At 39.3% G+C, this 15,464-nt stretch overlaps 1 protein-coding gene across 24 annotated transcripts in view, besides 1 other annotated feature; it reads left to right on the top strand.

The window, feature by feature from the left end:
• The window catches only part of RPGRIP1L (RPGRIP1 like), a 105,707-nt gene that overhangs the window by 70,394 nt on the left and 19,849 nt on the right, over positions 1-15,464 (top strand). For 8 of the 24 annotated variants that reach the window (XR_007064860.1, NM_001330538.2, NM_015272.5 and 5 more), the window contains 2 exons: positions 11,110-11,247; positions 14,258-14,441. Coding sequence is in view for 20 of the 24 variants with exons in the window: in NM_001330538.2 (NP_001317467.1) it covers positions 11,110-11,247; positions 14,258-14,441 (322 nt within the window). In the remaining 4 variants the exon portion in view is untranslated. Of the gene's footprint in view, positions 1-48; positions 5,211-11,109; positions 11,248-14,257; positions 14,442-15,464 lie in introns of those variants that run through there. The other 16 variants (XR_007064862.1, XR_933260.4, XR_007064861.1 and 13 more) reach the window with 6 other exon arrangements.
• Positions 7,245-7,763: an enhancer, noted in NCBI's record as "NANOG hESC enhancer chr16:53659615-53660133 (GRCh37/hg19 assembly coordinates)". NCBI's record gives its function as "activates a minimal SCP1, AML or CMV promoter by ChIP-STARR-seq in naive H9 embryonic stem cells {active_cell/tissue: H9 hESC(naive)}" and the evidence as "EXISTENCE:reporter gene assay evidence [ECO:0000049][PMID:30033119]".

Here is a 15,464-nt window from a genome sequence, read left to right as displayed (position 1 = left end):
TTCAGGCTTTCTTGTAGTGTTTTATAACAGTGATACTCTTTAATACAGGCCATTTACATTGTAACATATTCTTCATTGGATTTGTCTGGTGTTTCCTCAAGATCAGATTCCAGTTATGCATTTTGGTAGGAATACAGAAGCGATACTGTGTGCTCTTCATTGCATCATATCAGGAGGTAGAAAATGTCATTTTGCCTAATTATTGATGGTGTTAACTTTGGTTGAAGTGTTGTTTCATAAATCCTTTTGTAAGCTTAAAAATACTTGTGGTTCATTAGTTTTTTCTTTTGTCTTCTCTAAGAACTGCTTCTGGTAAAAATCTCAGAACAGTGAAACATAGCTTTCATAGGAAGGAATGTATTACTGAATGCCTGTTATGTGCTAAGTACATCCTATGTTAATATTTCCTCACAACAATTCTTTATTTATTAGCATCCATCGTGTGTCAGGCAGGCATAAAAGAAGCAGTTCTTTCCCTCAAAGAATTCATAGTCTGTAGGGGAAACACAATTAAAATGCATAGTGGTCTGCACCAGGAGAATGGAATGCATGGGGTGCTATGGGAGCATTCAGAAGGGGTCCCTAAGTCAGCATGAGGGGTCTTCCCTTCATCAAGGATGACTTCCTAGAGTCAGTAAAGCTGGAGCCAGTGTTGAAGATGATTAGGAGTTCATGAAAAGGGTGAGAAAATCATAGGCCAAAGGAATGAAAAGCATGAGAATCTGAGAGAACGTAGTGCATGGCTTGTTCTGGAATTCAGAATGGTTTCAGGATGGGCCAAGCCTATTATGGTATGCTTAGGGAGCCCAGGAGAATAGGCTGAAAAGGGAGGCATAATCCAGAGCGTTGAGGCCTCTGAGATTTTTAAGGAATGGGGATAGAAGATCACCCATTCATTAAACAGATATATATGTAGTGGGCATTTGCTGTGTTCCTAGCCTTGTTCTAGGGACTGGGAATAGATCCACGAATACAAAAAATTAAGCTCCTGATCTTAAGGAGTTTGCATGCTTGATCACATTTTGAAAGATCATGCTGTCAATAATGTAAAAAACAGATTAGAGGCACAAACTAGTTAGAAAGGAATTAGATAACCCTACTCTATAGTTATCCCTACTTTTTAAAAAATTGCCTCTATTTTATAATGTCACAAAATTAGGACTAGAAGTAGTGTCCTAGATAAGTATCATTTATGCCAGTTACACTGTGAATTTGAATTATCTGATATACTGTGTAAGCAATTTAAGATCAGTTTCTTTTCTTCATGTTACAGAATCTGACAGTTCCTAGTTATTTCTTAGAAATGTTGATCCTTAAAAGGAATCTAACAGATTTCCCAGTACTTCTACGTATTACTTGGTTCTTTCTCTTTTCTTCATGTCTGTGATGTATAATTAATCATAGATTACTTCATTTTGTTTCATTTCATTTACAACATTTATGAGCTTCACTTTGTCAGTATGAAATGCTTGTCCCCTCCTTTCCTTTCCAAAGTGGCGTAATTAGTGTTAGCATCTTTTTTAACAGGCTACATAAAGTTTAGTGGCTGGATTAAATCAAGTCATTAACATAATGTGCCACCCAATTTGCCCCTATCTTTCTTCGTTTCCCGGACATCAAAGTGCCACATAGCGCAAGTGTAATTGGGCCTTGCTGGCCTGTCAGATTCCGTCAGCCTGACAACTGCTGCTTTTACTAAAAAGCTTCTAGGCATGATAATTAATGGCGAGTGTGGGGGGACAGAATTCTGAGAGATGTAAAACTTTGGACATTTCTCTATGAATATTTTATTAATTTGAATAATCAGAAGTTAACAGTATAAATTTGATGTATAATACATTGATTAAAAGCCTTGTTTCAGGTCCTCAAAACAGACATCAAAACTGAACATTTGCATCTGCCATGGCATTAAAAAAAATTAACAATCCATCTTTTGCATTATTTCTAATTTTATCATTCAATAGTGCAGCTTTCATTTTTCACAACAAAATGTATTGCCATGAACTCACAGCTGTCTTAAAATGTGCCCACAGGTGAGAACGGGAAATTACAGGCTGAAAGAGCAATGGACTCTTCTGTGCAGTGCATATTTACATCATTCTCTTTCTCTGTTCCTACTCCTAGCAGTTGTGTGAAAACTGCCATATTCAATTGGACTAAATTGCAGTTCCACCTGGAAACTAGGTTCTCTGAACAATGAGCTGGCATTCCCAGGTGATTACAATAACGATGTTCAGCAAAGTATGTTTAAAACTTTGAAAGGCACAATGCAGAAATCAATTCACTCGCTTTAGAATTCGCATATGAAAAATTATTAAATCACTTAGGAATCAAATATGATATCTTATCAGTGGATAAAATAAGCCACTCTCAATGTTTTACATGTGGAAGCTTAAGCTAGATAGAGAGTAGGTTTTAAAATATATTTTACTTGGCCGGGTGCGGTGGCTCACACCTGTAATCCCAGCACTTTGGGAGGCTGAGGTGGGCAGATTACCTGAGGTCAGGAGTTCTAGACCAGCCCAACCAACATGGTGAAACCCTGTCTCTACTAAAAATACAAAAATTAGCCGGGCGTGTTGGCGGGCACCTGTAATTCCAGCTACTCGGGAGGGGAGGCAAGACAGTCCTTGAGCCTGGGAGGCAGAGGTTGCAGTGAGTCGAGATTGCACCACTGCACTCCAGCCTGGGCAACAGAGCAAGACTCTGTCACAAAAATAAATAAATAAAAATAAAATATATTTTATGTCAAACTGGAAATGTTGACATACTCTCCTAGTAGAAATTGCTTTTAAAACTATTTTTTATGCTTTGCAATTTAACTAACTCTTACTAATATACCATCAACATTTTTCCATAACAGTATACTCTATTTCTTTCAACATACCTATAATATTCCATTATATGGCTATACTATATTTATTTAAATAAGCCCCTTTTGATGGACCCTTAAGTGTTTCTATGATTTTTTGCTAATACAAATATATCTGCTTAAGATGAACATTATTATATATAACAATGTTTGAAAATTCATGTTTTCTCCTATTACACTCTTTGCCAAACTAATGAATAAATTTTGCCTTAGTGATGATTTCATTTAAAAAGAAACAAATGGGGCCAGATGTGGTGGCTGACAGCTGTAATCCTAACACTTGAGGAAGTCCAAGGCAAGAGGATTGTTTGAGGATAGCAGTTCAGGACCAGCCTGGGCAATGTAACAAGACCCCCATCTCTACAAAAACAATTTTTTTACATTGGCCAAGCCTGGTGACACATGCTTGTAGTCCTAGCTACTCTGAAGGCTGAGGTTGGAGGATCGCTTGAGCCCAGGAGTTCAGGGCTGCAGAGCTGGGATCATACCACTGCACTCCAGCCTGTGTGACAGAGGAGAACCTGTCGCTGCAACACACACACACACAAAAGAAATACAAAAAGGTCTATATATATATTTTTATTTGCACATACAGACATGACATTTAGGTTTATGTAAGCAAAGAAAATGTTTGGGAAAATGTACATCTGACAGCGTTAGCAGTGAATATCTCTAGGGCAGGAGTCAGCAAACAATGGCCCCTGTGCCAAATCCAGCCCTCTACTGTTATTGGAACCCAGCCACCCGTTCGTTTACATATTATCTATTGCTGCTTTCACTCCACAAGGGCACAGTTGAATACCATATAGCTGCAATGCCAAAAACATTTGTATTCATCCTTTTACAGAAAAAAAAATTGCCAACTCATGAGTTAGGTGGTAGAATGAAACAAGGAACTTTCATATTTGACATTTGGTAATTTATATTGTTGGATTATTTTTAATGGTGAGCATCGATTGACTCAAAAAAGGAAGTAGTTAGCTAATTCTGTACTAAAATGTTGAATAATAGCAAAAGAACTGTTTAACATGAATATTGTGAAAGCTTTTCTATAAAGATGTTAGAAGTCTCCATGGATGGAAGATGAATCTTTTTTGGTTTAGAGCAATATTTCTCAAAGTGTGATCCCCAGAGTTCAGCATCAGCATCTGCATCACCTGAGAATTTGTAAGAGATGCAAATCCTTGGCCCCACCAGAGACCTAATGAATTAGAAGTTCTATGGAGTCCACCAATCCGTGTTTTATCAAGTGATTCTGGGGTATGCTAAAATGCAAGAACCATAGCTTTAGAAAAAAGTGGTACTTTTCACCCTTGGCTGCACATGAGAATCGTCTGGGGAGCATTGTTAAATGCCAGGGCCCAGGCTCCACCTAGATAAATTAAGTCAGAATTTTGTTTATAGCTCCCCTGGTGATTCTAATGTGCAGCCAAAATCAAGAACCACTGCACTGCAACATCTGTTCTCAGTGATGGTGAAAGGAGAGTAGCATATCAAAATCACCTGAAATTGAGGGTGATTTTTAAAATTCTCCTTGCTTCACATTGCTGCAATGTGTCATATCCCTCAGGTTTGTATCTATTTATACACATTTATACACACACACACACCATTTCTATGGTGATGAAATAATACCAATTTATAATTATTTGGCATAATTATTTGGAGATTAATTTGATATTAGGGCAGGAAAAAAATAATCCAAATCACTGCAAGGACATAGTAATTTATAGGGCATATAAGGACACCGTGACAATGTTCTAAAAATAAGTACTGTTAAAGCTAGCACTGTTTTGATCCCCATCACTGAAGTTTGCAACGTTTACCTTATTTGTTTAATATAGTACATTTTAACAGAACATGTTAGAAAAGATAGATTACTGCCACGGACGAAAACTGGGTGGTTTTCTTTTGTTTGTTAAAAACCTTATTACCTTGACAGCTTGAGATTCTGGAGACATCACCTTTGTATGTACTTATTATTATTATTTTAAATAATCAACAGTTGTTAAAATAAACAGTTAAACAGTTATTAAACAATCAAAATGCTTTAATCAGAACTTGTATGAGGAGTGGATTTGATGCACAATGTAAGAGGAAGCTTTGGAGCCTGATGTGAAGGACTGAAGGGGATTTTTTTGAGTCTTTGAGAGGATGTCTCTGCCCATGCCCAGCCTGAAGAAGGGAACTTGTAAGAATCACCATTAATTAATATGCATTCCTACCCTACTTACATATGGCTCTGTCAATACCAGTGGTTGAGTCTGATTGTTTTAACCAACTGTTTTGAGCTTGTCTTAGAGCTCACCCCAATTAAAATTTGTACTCTTCAAAAGCATTGACATAGATCTTGGCCTTCTATTTCCATTTTGTCTCTGTTGTTTTGTTACAAAGTAACAAGTTCTACATACTGTGGCTCCTACAGGTAGGCTTTATTTGTATCTATGTACACACACACACACACACACACACACAGTATTTTTATAAATAATACCAATTTATAATTATCTGGAGATTAATTTGATAATACTTTATGGTTGAAATTCTCTTACCTATTACCCAGCAGTTCTGCTCCTAAGGGAATCATGCATGTATACAAGAAAACATAAAAGGATATTTAATGCAACATTGTTTGCAATAGCAAAAAATTGTAAACAATGTAACATAAAAGGATATTTAATGCAGCATTGTAATAGCAAAAAATGGTAAACAACATAATTGTTCATCAGCAGGTAAATAAATGTACTATAGATTATATATGCAATATAAATAGGATTCTGTACAACAGTTAATATGAATAAATTGGATTTGAAAAATAAATGTGATAAATCTCAAAAATATAGTATTGAGTATAAAAAAACAGAAATTGCAGAATGATTAATAAGAATATGATACCACAAATATAAAACCAAAAAACAGAAAATAATACTGTATGTTGTTTATAGATATACACACATGCAGTAGAAAATATAAAGGCATGTTTGGGAATGATACAACCAACTTCAAGATAGTGGTAACCATGGGGGAATGAGGAAGGGAGGGGAAAGGATTTGGCAGCTGGTAGTTTTACCTGTATCTGAAATATTTTATTTCTTCAAAAACAACAATAAAAAGACTTAAGTTGGTTATAGAAAAATGGTAACATCTGTTTGAGATGGCTGACTAGTTGAATTGAATATGCCAAATTATTTTCTGTACTTTATCATGTTTGAAATGTTTTATAATAAAAAATTAAAGAAATGCCTATTCATTTTAGAAACTTGGAATAAAATTAAGCTCACCTGTAATCTCACCATAATTAGATTTAAATGTAACTGACTGAAACAAGTTGCAAGACCTTTATCATAGGCCATTCTCAATTATGCAGTACTATTTTTAAGGGTTGTCAGGTTGAATTAGTTTTCAGAAGCCCAACAATTCAACTCCAGTATGGCTGCGTGTAGTGGCTGAAACCAGAGGAAGAATTCAGCACAATCCTGTGAAGTAGGATGTGAAAATTTTAAGCATGCCAATAATAAGCCTAAGTAAACACTTTAGATCACATAGAAAAATATGATCCAAAGTATGAATTATCATCAGTCAGGAAGCAATAGTGGAATTGAGCCAAAATCACGAGAGCTATAATTTATTTTTTTAGAGCAATACAAGCTGTCATCACATTTCTAGATCATTTAATCACATAACACATAGTGTCCATCTATACAGACAACTAAAAATAAGTTGCATGGAGTTCTGATTTGAATGACTTCTGTTCACCACAAAAAAAATTTTTTTTTTTTTTTTTTTTGAGAGACAGGGTCTCACTCTGTCACCCAGGGTGGAGTGTAGTAGTGCAGTCTCACCTCACTGAAACCTCTGCCTCCCATGTTCAAGCGATTCTCCTGCCTCAGCCTCCCGAGTAGCCGGGATTACAGTCACACACCACCACACCTGGCTAATTTTTGTATCTTTAGTAGAGAAGGGGTTTCACCATGTTGGCCAGGCTGGTCTTGAAGTCATGGTCTCAAGTGATCCACTTGCCTCAGCCTCCCAAAGTGCTGGGATTACAGGCGTGAGTCCCCACGGCCAGCCCACAATCAAAATTTATAAATGTTCTTTTTACATGGTGATACTGAGGATGCTAATAGGGTAATTGGTGAACAAGAAAAAAAGAACTGAGAAGAAGCATCTTACCTGGTAACAAAAATTCATACACGTAGAGGGGAAACAAAACAGGAAAAGTCTAAAGCCTGTGCTGTCTGGCCAATTTCCTGTATCAAAGGATGCTGGTAGCCTGCAGAGGAATGACCGGTCATGTTGCTCTAGTAATTCTGAACAATTATTATTCATCTCTTTAAAAGCCTTTGCTTCAATTACTGTCATTTGAATCAGTATATTATTTAGGACATCTTCCAATTCACCTGATTGAGACTTTTTCCCATTTTCTTTTTTTTTTTTTTTTTTTTTTTAGTATTTATTGATCATTCTTGGTTGTTTCTCGGAGAGGGGGATTTGACAGGGTCATAGGACAATAGTGGAGAGAAGGTCAGCAGATAAACCCGTGAACAAAGGTCTCTGGTTTTCCTAGGCAGAGGACCCTGCAGCCTTCCGCAGTGTTTGTGTCCCTGGGTACTTGAGATTAGGGAGTGGTGATGACTCTTAACGAGCATGCTGCCTTCAAGCATCTGTTTAACAAAGCACATCTTGCACCGCCCTTAATCCATTTAACCCTGAGTTGACACAGCACATGTTTCAGAGAGCACGGGGTTGGGGGTGAGGTTATAGATTAACAGCATCCCAAGGCAGAAGAATTTTTCTTAGTACAGAACAAAATGGAGTCTCCTATGTCTTCTTCTTTCTGCACAGACACAGTAACAATCTGATCTCTCTTTCTTTTCCCCACATTTCCCCCTTTTCTATTCGACAAAACCGCCATCCTCATCATGGCCCGTTCTCAATGAGCCGTTGGGTACACGTCCCAGACGGGGTGGCGGCTGGGCAGAGGGGCTCCTCACTTCCCAGACATGGCGGCTGGGCAGAGGGGCCCCCCCACCCCCAAGACGGGGTGGCTGCCGGGCGGAGGCGCCCCCCCCTCACCCCCTAGACGGGGCGGCCGCTGGGCGGAGGCGCGCCCCCCCCAGCCCCCAGATGGGGCGGCTGCCGGGTGGAGGCACCCCCCACCCCACCCCCCAGACGGGGCGGCCGCCAGGCTGAGGCGCCCCCCCCAGTTCCCAGACGGGGTGGCGGCCGGGCGGAGGCGCTCCCCACCACCCAGATGGGGCAGCCGCGGAGGCGCTCCCCACATCCCAGACGATGGGCGGCTGGCAGAGACGCTCCTCACTTCCCAGACTGGGCTGCCGGGCAGAGGGGCTCCTCACTTCCCAGACAATGGGTGGCCAGGCAGAGACGCTCCTCACTTCCTAGACGGGGTGGCGGCCGGGCAGAGGCTGCAGTCTCGGCACTTTGGGAGGCCAAGGCAGGCGGCTGGGAGGTGGAGGTTGTAGCGAGCCAAGATCACGCCACTGCACTCCAGCCTGGGCAACATTGAGCACTGAGTGAGCGAGACTCCGTCTGCAATCCCGGCACCTGGGGAGGCCAAGGTGGGCAGATCACTCGAGGTCAGGAGCTGGATACCAGCCTGGCCAACACGGCCAAACCCTGTCTCCACCAAAAATACAAAAACCAGTCAGGCGTGGTGGCGCACGCCTGCAATCCCAGGCACTCGGCAGGCTGAGGCAGGAGAATCAGGCAGGGAGGTTGCAGCGAGCCGAGATCGCGGCAGTACAGTCCAGCCTGGGCAACAGAGGGAGACCGTGGAAAGCAGGAGACTGAGACGAGGGGGAGGGGGAGGGGGAGGGGGAGGGACTCCCATTTTCTTATGATGAAAAATTTCAAACATGCAGAAAAGTAGAAATAATAGTACCCTACCACCTAGATTCAACAATATTCACCTGTCTTGAGATAGTCTTATTTCATTAAAATCTATAACAGCAAGAGTTCTATATATTTCTCGGCAGTTAATAATAACCACTCCCCAAAACTTAGTAGCACATAATTTCCTTTTTTTTTTTTAGGTGGAGTCTCGCTCTGTCACCTAGACTGGAGTGCAGTGGCGCAATCTCAGCTCACTGCAACCTCCACCTGCCGGGTTCAAGTGATTCTTCTGCCTCAGCCTCCCGAGTACCAGGCGCGTGCCACCACGCCCGGCTAATTTTTTTGTATTTTTAATAGAAACAGGGTTTCACCGTGTTAGCCAGGATGGTCTCGATCTCCTGACCTCATGATCTGCCTGCCTCTGCCTCCCAAAGTGCTGGGATTACAGGCATGAGCCAGTGCGCCCAGCCATAATAAATATTTTTTAAATGAGAAGGCAATAATACCTGCAGCTTCACATAGTTCTGGCAATAAATAAAAGATATTCTAGGCTGGGCACTGTGGTTCACACCTGTGATCCTGGCACTTTGAGAGGTCGAGGTGGGAGGATTGCTTGAGGCCAGGAGTTTGAGACCAGTCCGGGCAACATAGTGAAACCCCGTCTCTACAAAAAATTTAAAAAATATCTGGGTATGTTGGCATGCTCCTCTAGTCCCAGCTACTCAGGGGGCTGAGATGGGAGGATCACTCGAGCCTGGGAGATTGAGGCTGCAGTGAGTTGTCATCTTGCCACTGCACTTCAGCCTGGACAACAAAGCAAGAACCTGAAGAAAAATAAAAAAAGATATTCTGAATATATAAAAGATACACAGTCTCCACTATTTCATTAAATATTTATTGACAGTCTATGTTGGGGAGGATGTGAAGTAGCAAAAAATGAGTAAGATATTGGTCCTGCCCTCCTGAAGCCCAGAGTCTATAGACAGAGGCAAATATGTGAACAGTTCCATGTAGTACAATGTGATGGAGAAGTGCAGTAAAGGCCCAGAGGAGGAAACAACCAACTTGCTCTTAGAGATCAGTATTGCTGTCATAAAGGAGAGGATGTGTGGTTCAGGGCCTCACAGGAGTGGAATTCTGATGGAAAAGATTTCACACAATAAATAACAGATGCAAAAACTGAGCAATATAAAACAGCACACCATGAGTTTAAAGGAGTGGCTAGAGTGTAAGGCAATAGGAATATTTTCAGGCGGAAAGATGATATTTGATTGGTTTTTAGGAAGAGAATTCTGCTACAATAAGGAGAATGGTTGGGACTGCAGACAAGAGATTAGAGATGAGTGCCTCACCTCTCTCTGTCATGAGAGTAGATCCACTCATTTATTGTGTACTACATAACGCAATGAGCAATCTAATAGTCCCTACTGTCACTGAGCTTACAGTCTCATAACGCTCATCAATCGGCTACCAGTTCGCTCTCAAATCTCTTACGTCAGTTCCTTCTATTTTCTCCCTCCTTGTTCTGTCAAATTGCTACCTTCTGATAACTAGGAAGCTATTGTATTAGTTACCCCCATGAGAACTTAGTATTTTCTCTAGAGATAAAAAATGGAAAAGAAACAACATCTTATTTTTCTTTATCTCCCCAACAGTTAAAACAATGTCTGAAATATATGCTTTCAACAATTCAGTGAATCATTGAGTGGTTTTTTTGTTTGTTTCTTTGTTTTGAGACAGGGTCTCACCCTGTCACCCAGGCTACAGTGCATAGAGTGCAGTGGCAAGATCATGGCTCCCTACAGCCCCAACCTCTCAGGCTCAAGCAATCCTCCAACCTCAGCCTCCCAGGTAGCTGGGACCACAGGCACATGCCACTCCAAGGCCTGGCTATTTGTGTGTGTGTGTGTGTGTGTGTGTGTGTGTGTGTGTGTGTGTGTGGTTTTTGTTTTGTTTTATTTTTTGGAGAGACGTGTTTTCACCATGTTGCTCAGGCTGGTCTCCAACTCCTGGGCTCTTGGGCTCCTGGGCTTAAGCAATCTGCCCCTCCTCAGCCTCCCAAAGTGCTGGAATTTACAAGCATGAGCCACTGCACCTGGCCAATTGTGGCGATATTTAGGAAGTAAAATGAGCAGGAATGGGTGACCTTTAGGATATAGTGGGTGTGAAAAAAATGGAAAGGCAAGGATGCTGCTATGTCTTCTGGTTGTAGGGGACTAGGTGGATGGTGATGTCATCGGCTGAGATAGGAAATAACACAGTATGAATAGGATTGGGGGAGAGGAGAGGGAATGAGTTCATTTCTGACATGCTGAGATGAAGTTGTCTATTATGCATTTAATGTGCTTCTTAATCTTAAGATTTTTTTTTTTTTTTTGAGACAGAGTCTCGCATTGTCTCCCGGGCTGGGGTGCAGTAGCGCGATCTCAGCTCACTGCAACTTCCGCCTCCCGGGTTCCAGCGATTTTCCTGCCTCAGCCTCCCAAGTAGATGGGATTACAGGTGCCTGCCACCACACCCAGGTAATTTTTTGTAATTTTAGCAGAGACGGGGTTTCACTATGTTGGCCATGCTGGTCTCAAACTCCCGACCTCATGATCCGCCCACCTCTGCCTCCCAAAGTGCTGGGATTACAGGCATGAGCCACTGCGCCGGGCCAATCTTCAGATCTTTATACAAAATCTAGTTGAACTTTTTTTTTTTTTTTTTTTTTTTTTTGAGACGGAGTCTTGCTCTGTCTGCCAGGCTGGAGTGCAGTAACGCAATCTCGGCTCACTGCAAGCTCCGCCCCCTGGGTTCACGCCATTCCCCTGCCTCAGCCTCCCGAGTAGCTGGGACTACAGGTGCCCGCCACCACACCCGATTGATTTTTTGTATTTTTAGTAGAGACGGGGTTTCACCATATTTAGCCAGGATGGTCTCGATCTCCTGACCTCGTGATCCGCCCACCTCAGCCTCCCAAAGTGCTGGGATTACAGGCGTGAGCCACTGCGCCCGGCCTAGTTGAACTTTTTAATCAGAGGGGCTTGAACACAACCAGAATTGTTCCAGCATTGAAAAATAAATTGTCTAGCATCATTTGTCAAAATTTATGTTTGGAAAATTCTTTATTTAGAGCTTACTTTCTTAGATAAAAGCTGCTTAAAATGTACCCCTTTTAGGATTTATTTCAAGTTGATTCATGTAGCATTAAATGAATGAAGAAACAATAACTGATCATTTCTGCCAGGTGTATTGGTCAGAGAATTAAAAAGGACATTTGATCGAAGTAATGGCAGTAGTGTAGAGATCCAAAAAAAAAAAAAAAAAATTGACCAGAAATAAGATAGACATCATAAAAAGAATTTTAAAGTTATTTTATTTTTTTGATAATACAGTGAGTTTTCTTTTTTGTTGTTTTGGTGTTTGGGGTTTTGTTATTTTGTTTCTGTGTTTTGGCTAGGATCCAAGTGAATAGTTTTATCTAGGATTGTATTTTAAACTTTAAAGAGTTGCATGTAGTCATATTTGACAGTCTAAATTGGTTCTTACAATAATGCAAGTTTTCATATGGGGATTGTAGAGCTAATATATTATTAATAAAATAACCACTTAGATAAATTTGATTCCCCTGCTATTTACAAGTTCATTTACTTCTTCATTAGGTTCTGTGATAAACAATTTTAAATTCCTCTTTTCACAGAGTAGAAATAAGTATGTATAGCACTTTTTTCTTTTTATAGCTATTTTCCTTTAATTCTTTTGTGCAGAAACATAAATGTTGTATAAGATGTTATTGCTATAATTCTAAGTTTGTCAAATTCCAACTTATGTAGAAGACTTAACTATACATTATGCTACAGTTGGAGCAGAATTATAAAATATATGTATTACAGTATTTTCACTACCACGATACATTTTAAGGAAAAAAAATATCATTTAAAATATTTTCTTTACCATGTAGTCTTCAGCGAGCAGAGAAGGGGTTTTCTGAAGTGAGATTAGACAATAGAGCCAACTTCATTTTTTATGCACGTGAACGGAGAGGGCTTGAGGTTATTAGTTGAAACCGAGTAACCTTTCCAGGCTTTCATCTCTTTCTTTTCAAATTTGAATATGAAAAGCATATTCAAGTCAAAGACCATCACTTTAATGACATTTGGCAGTCATTTGATTTATTAGGTTTTAGAAAAAATTTTCCTTTAAATATTTCATCATACTATGCTAATCCTAGTAATATTGCCAGCTGCAGCCTTGTACCTGTATTAGTGGAGACAGAATGGTGTGGAATTTTCTCTGTCATCCTAGTAAAATTTCCATGAATCTACTGAATAATAAAATAACCTTATTGAAATATTCAGATTTGGGTTTTTAGTTAAAGTGTCTTAGAATACATAATAAAAGAAAATGTCTTTTGAAAGAAGGGGGTAAAATTACTTCATCAAATATTGAGAGGGTTTGACAGCAATGGAAATTGTTCTTTATGGGAATATTTTTACAATAGGATACTTATGCTTTTCAATTTGATTAATTATATTATATGCTTTGAAATATCTAAGTAACCACTATGGTGAATTTACACACTGATTTAAATTTAACAATGAATTCCTAAAAGCTGGTCATATAAACAGGTCTTATTTTCAGGTTTTTCTAATTATTATTTGAAGTTATATAATTTATAGCATGTCTCTGAATTTAGTAAAATAGGATTTTGATACTAAAGGACAAACTTTAAATTGTAAAAAACAGATTTAACTGAGGAGTTACCTTGGTGTGATATAATTTCTAATCCTAGTCTATTAATTATTTGAAATCATTACTCAAGGAAACATTTGTAATTCCTGTGATAATGTCTATGACACCAAAATCTATTAAGCAAGGATTGAGGTGAAAATTAAACAAACACCATTTTAGTTGTTAATTTTGTAAAAATAAAATTAAAGATAAATTATGAGAAAATGTTCAAATTAGACATAAAATTGTTTCTTTTGCTTGAAAATGTATTATTTATTCAACAAAGTATATTATGACAGAATATAAGAGAATGAACTGTAGTTTCTGCTCTAGTTAATATTGATTCATATAGCTACATATATTAGCATAATACCTATAAAGTGTTCAACAGGCTTTGATCTCCGAATAACTGAAACTTTCTCAGGTACTGTAGATTAAGTAAAGGCAGTGATAAACATGTACTTCATTACATAGTTTGAAACAAGGCCAACTTGTCATTCTGAAAGCAATCGGAGATGAAGATCTCATAATCTTCACTCCTGATAGACTACTAGTGGGGTATTTATAGCCTCAAATGTAAATCAGGAGACTATTGCCATGACACTGTTAACTTCAAACCCTGGGGCATTAGCATCTCATTCTGTGTCTCTGTCATGAATAATCTATCATGTGTAACATACAGTAGTGTACATTGCATTCAAGAAAAGAAGCCCATTGGCCTTCGTGTTTTATTTAAAATTGATAGTGGAAAGTAATAGTGGATCTTTTTGTTCAATTATTTTATTTCTTTGTTGTTTTTTGTTTTTGCTCTTTAAACAGCCATCAGAAAAAATTCGGATTGAGATCATAGCTCTAAGCCTTAATGATTCTCAAGTAACCATGGATGACACTATCCAACGGCTGTTTGTTGAGTGTCGATTCTACAGTCTTCCTGCTGAAGAGACACCCGTGTCACTTCCAAAACCCAAGAGTGGGCAGTGGGTCTACTATAACTATAGCAATGGTATGTATGATTCATTTGTAATATAGACTTTTATGTTTGTCTTTTTTATTTATGAAAGAAGTGGAAAGAACAGAGAGAAAGTTTATTTCTCTAATATTCACATAAATTCATGGAAGTCTTGTCAGAATTGATTAATAAAAGTCAAACCAGTAGCATAAAGATTAAGAAAATAAAGTTGGGCCAGGCACAGTGGCTCACACCTGTAATCCTAGCACTTTGGGAGACCGAGACGGGTGGATCGCTTGAGCTCTGGAGTTCCAGACCAGCCTGGGCTACACGGCAAAACCTCGTCTCTACAAAAAAAAATACAAAAATTAGCCGGGCATGGTGTTGCGCTCCTGTAGTCCCAGCTACTCAGGAGGCTGAGGCAGGAGGATTGCTTGAGCCTGGGAGGGTGAGCCTGCAGTGAGCTCTGATCTTGCCACCGCACTCTTGCTTGAGTGGCAAAGTGAGACCCTGTCTCAAAAAAGAAGAGAAAGTTGAAGTAATACCACAGTTAAGAGAAAACAAAACAATGTGAAAAAATATTTCTAAGATGGTCCTGCTATGTCATAGTTCAACAGAAAAATGTCAGCTAGGTCTATAATTAGGAATTTAATTTAAATATATGATATTTCAAAGAAATATCTTTCAAAGAAGTCATTTTTTAATCATATGATTCGAAGCTTTCAATGTTCTATTTATTGTCTACCTTTCTGATCAATGTCATCACATGGATGTTTTTACAATACGTGTATATATCTCTCTCAGTGTCTAGATGTTCAAGATTTTAATTGAGTGAAGCATAAGTTCTTACTACACCTTTCATCATATAGCACACACATCCATTCATAGCAGCAGGCAGGTTTTCTGTCTTAGGGCTTGATCTAGCAGCCAGTTGACATGTAAGTTTACTGGACCAGCACAGACCCAATAGACACCCTATAAATTCTGAGATCAATCAACTTTATTGTGTGATTGTTAGTATATAATTGGAGAGGAATAAAAAATAATATCAGGCTACCATGACCCTAAGCTAAAACA

The sequence above is a fragment of the Homo sapiens genome, chromosome 16 (assembly GCF_000001405.40).
Source record: "Homo sapiens chromosome 16, GRCh38.p14 Primary Assembly".
Classification (NCBI taxonomy): domain Eukaryota; kingdom Metazoa; phylum Chordata; class Mammalia; order Primates; family Hominidae; genus Homo; species Homo sapiens.
Note: the sequence above shows the minus strand (reverse complement) of the source record. Positions and strands in the feature narration are given on the sequence as shown.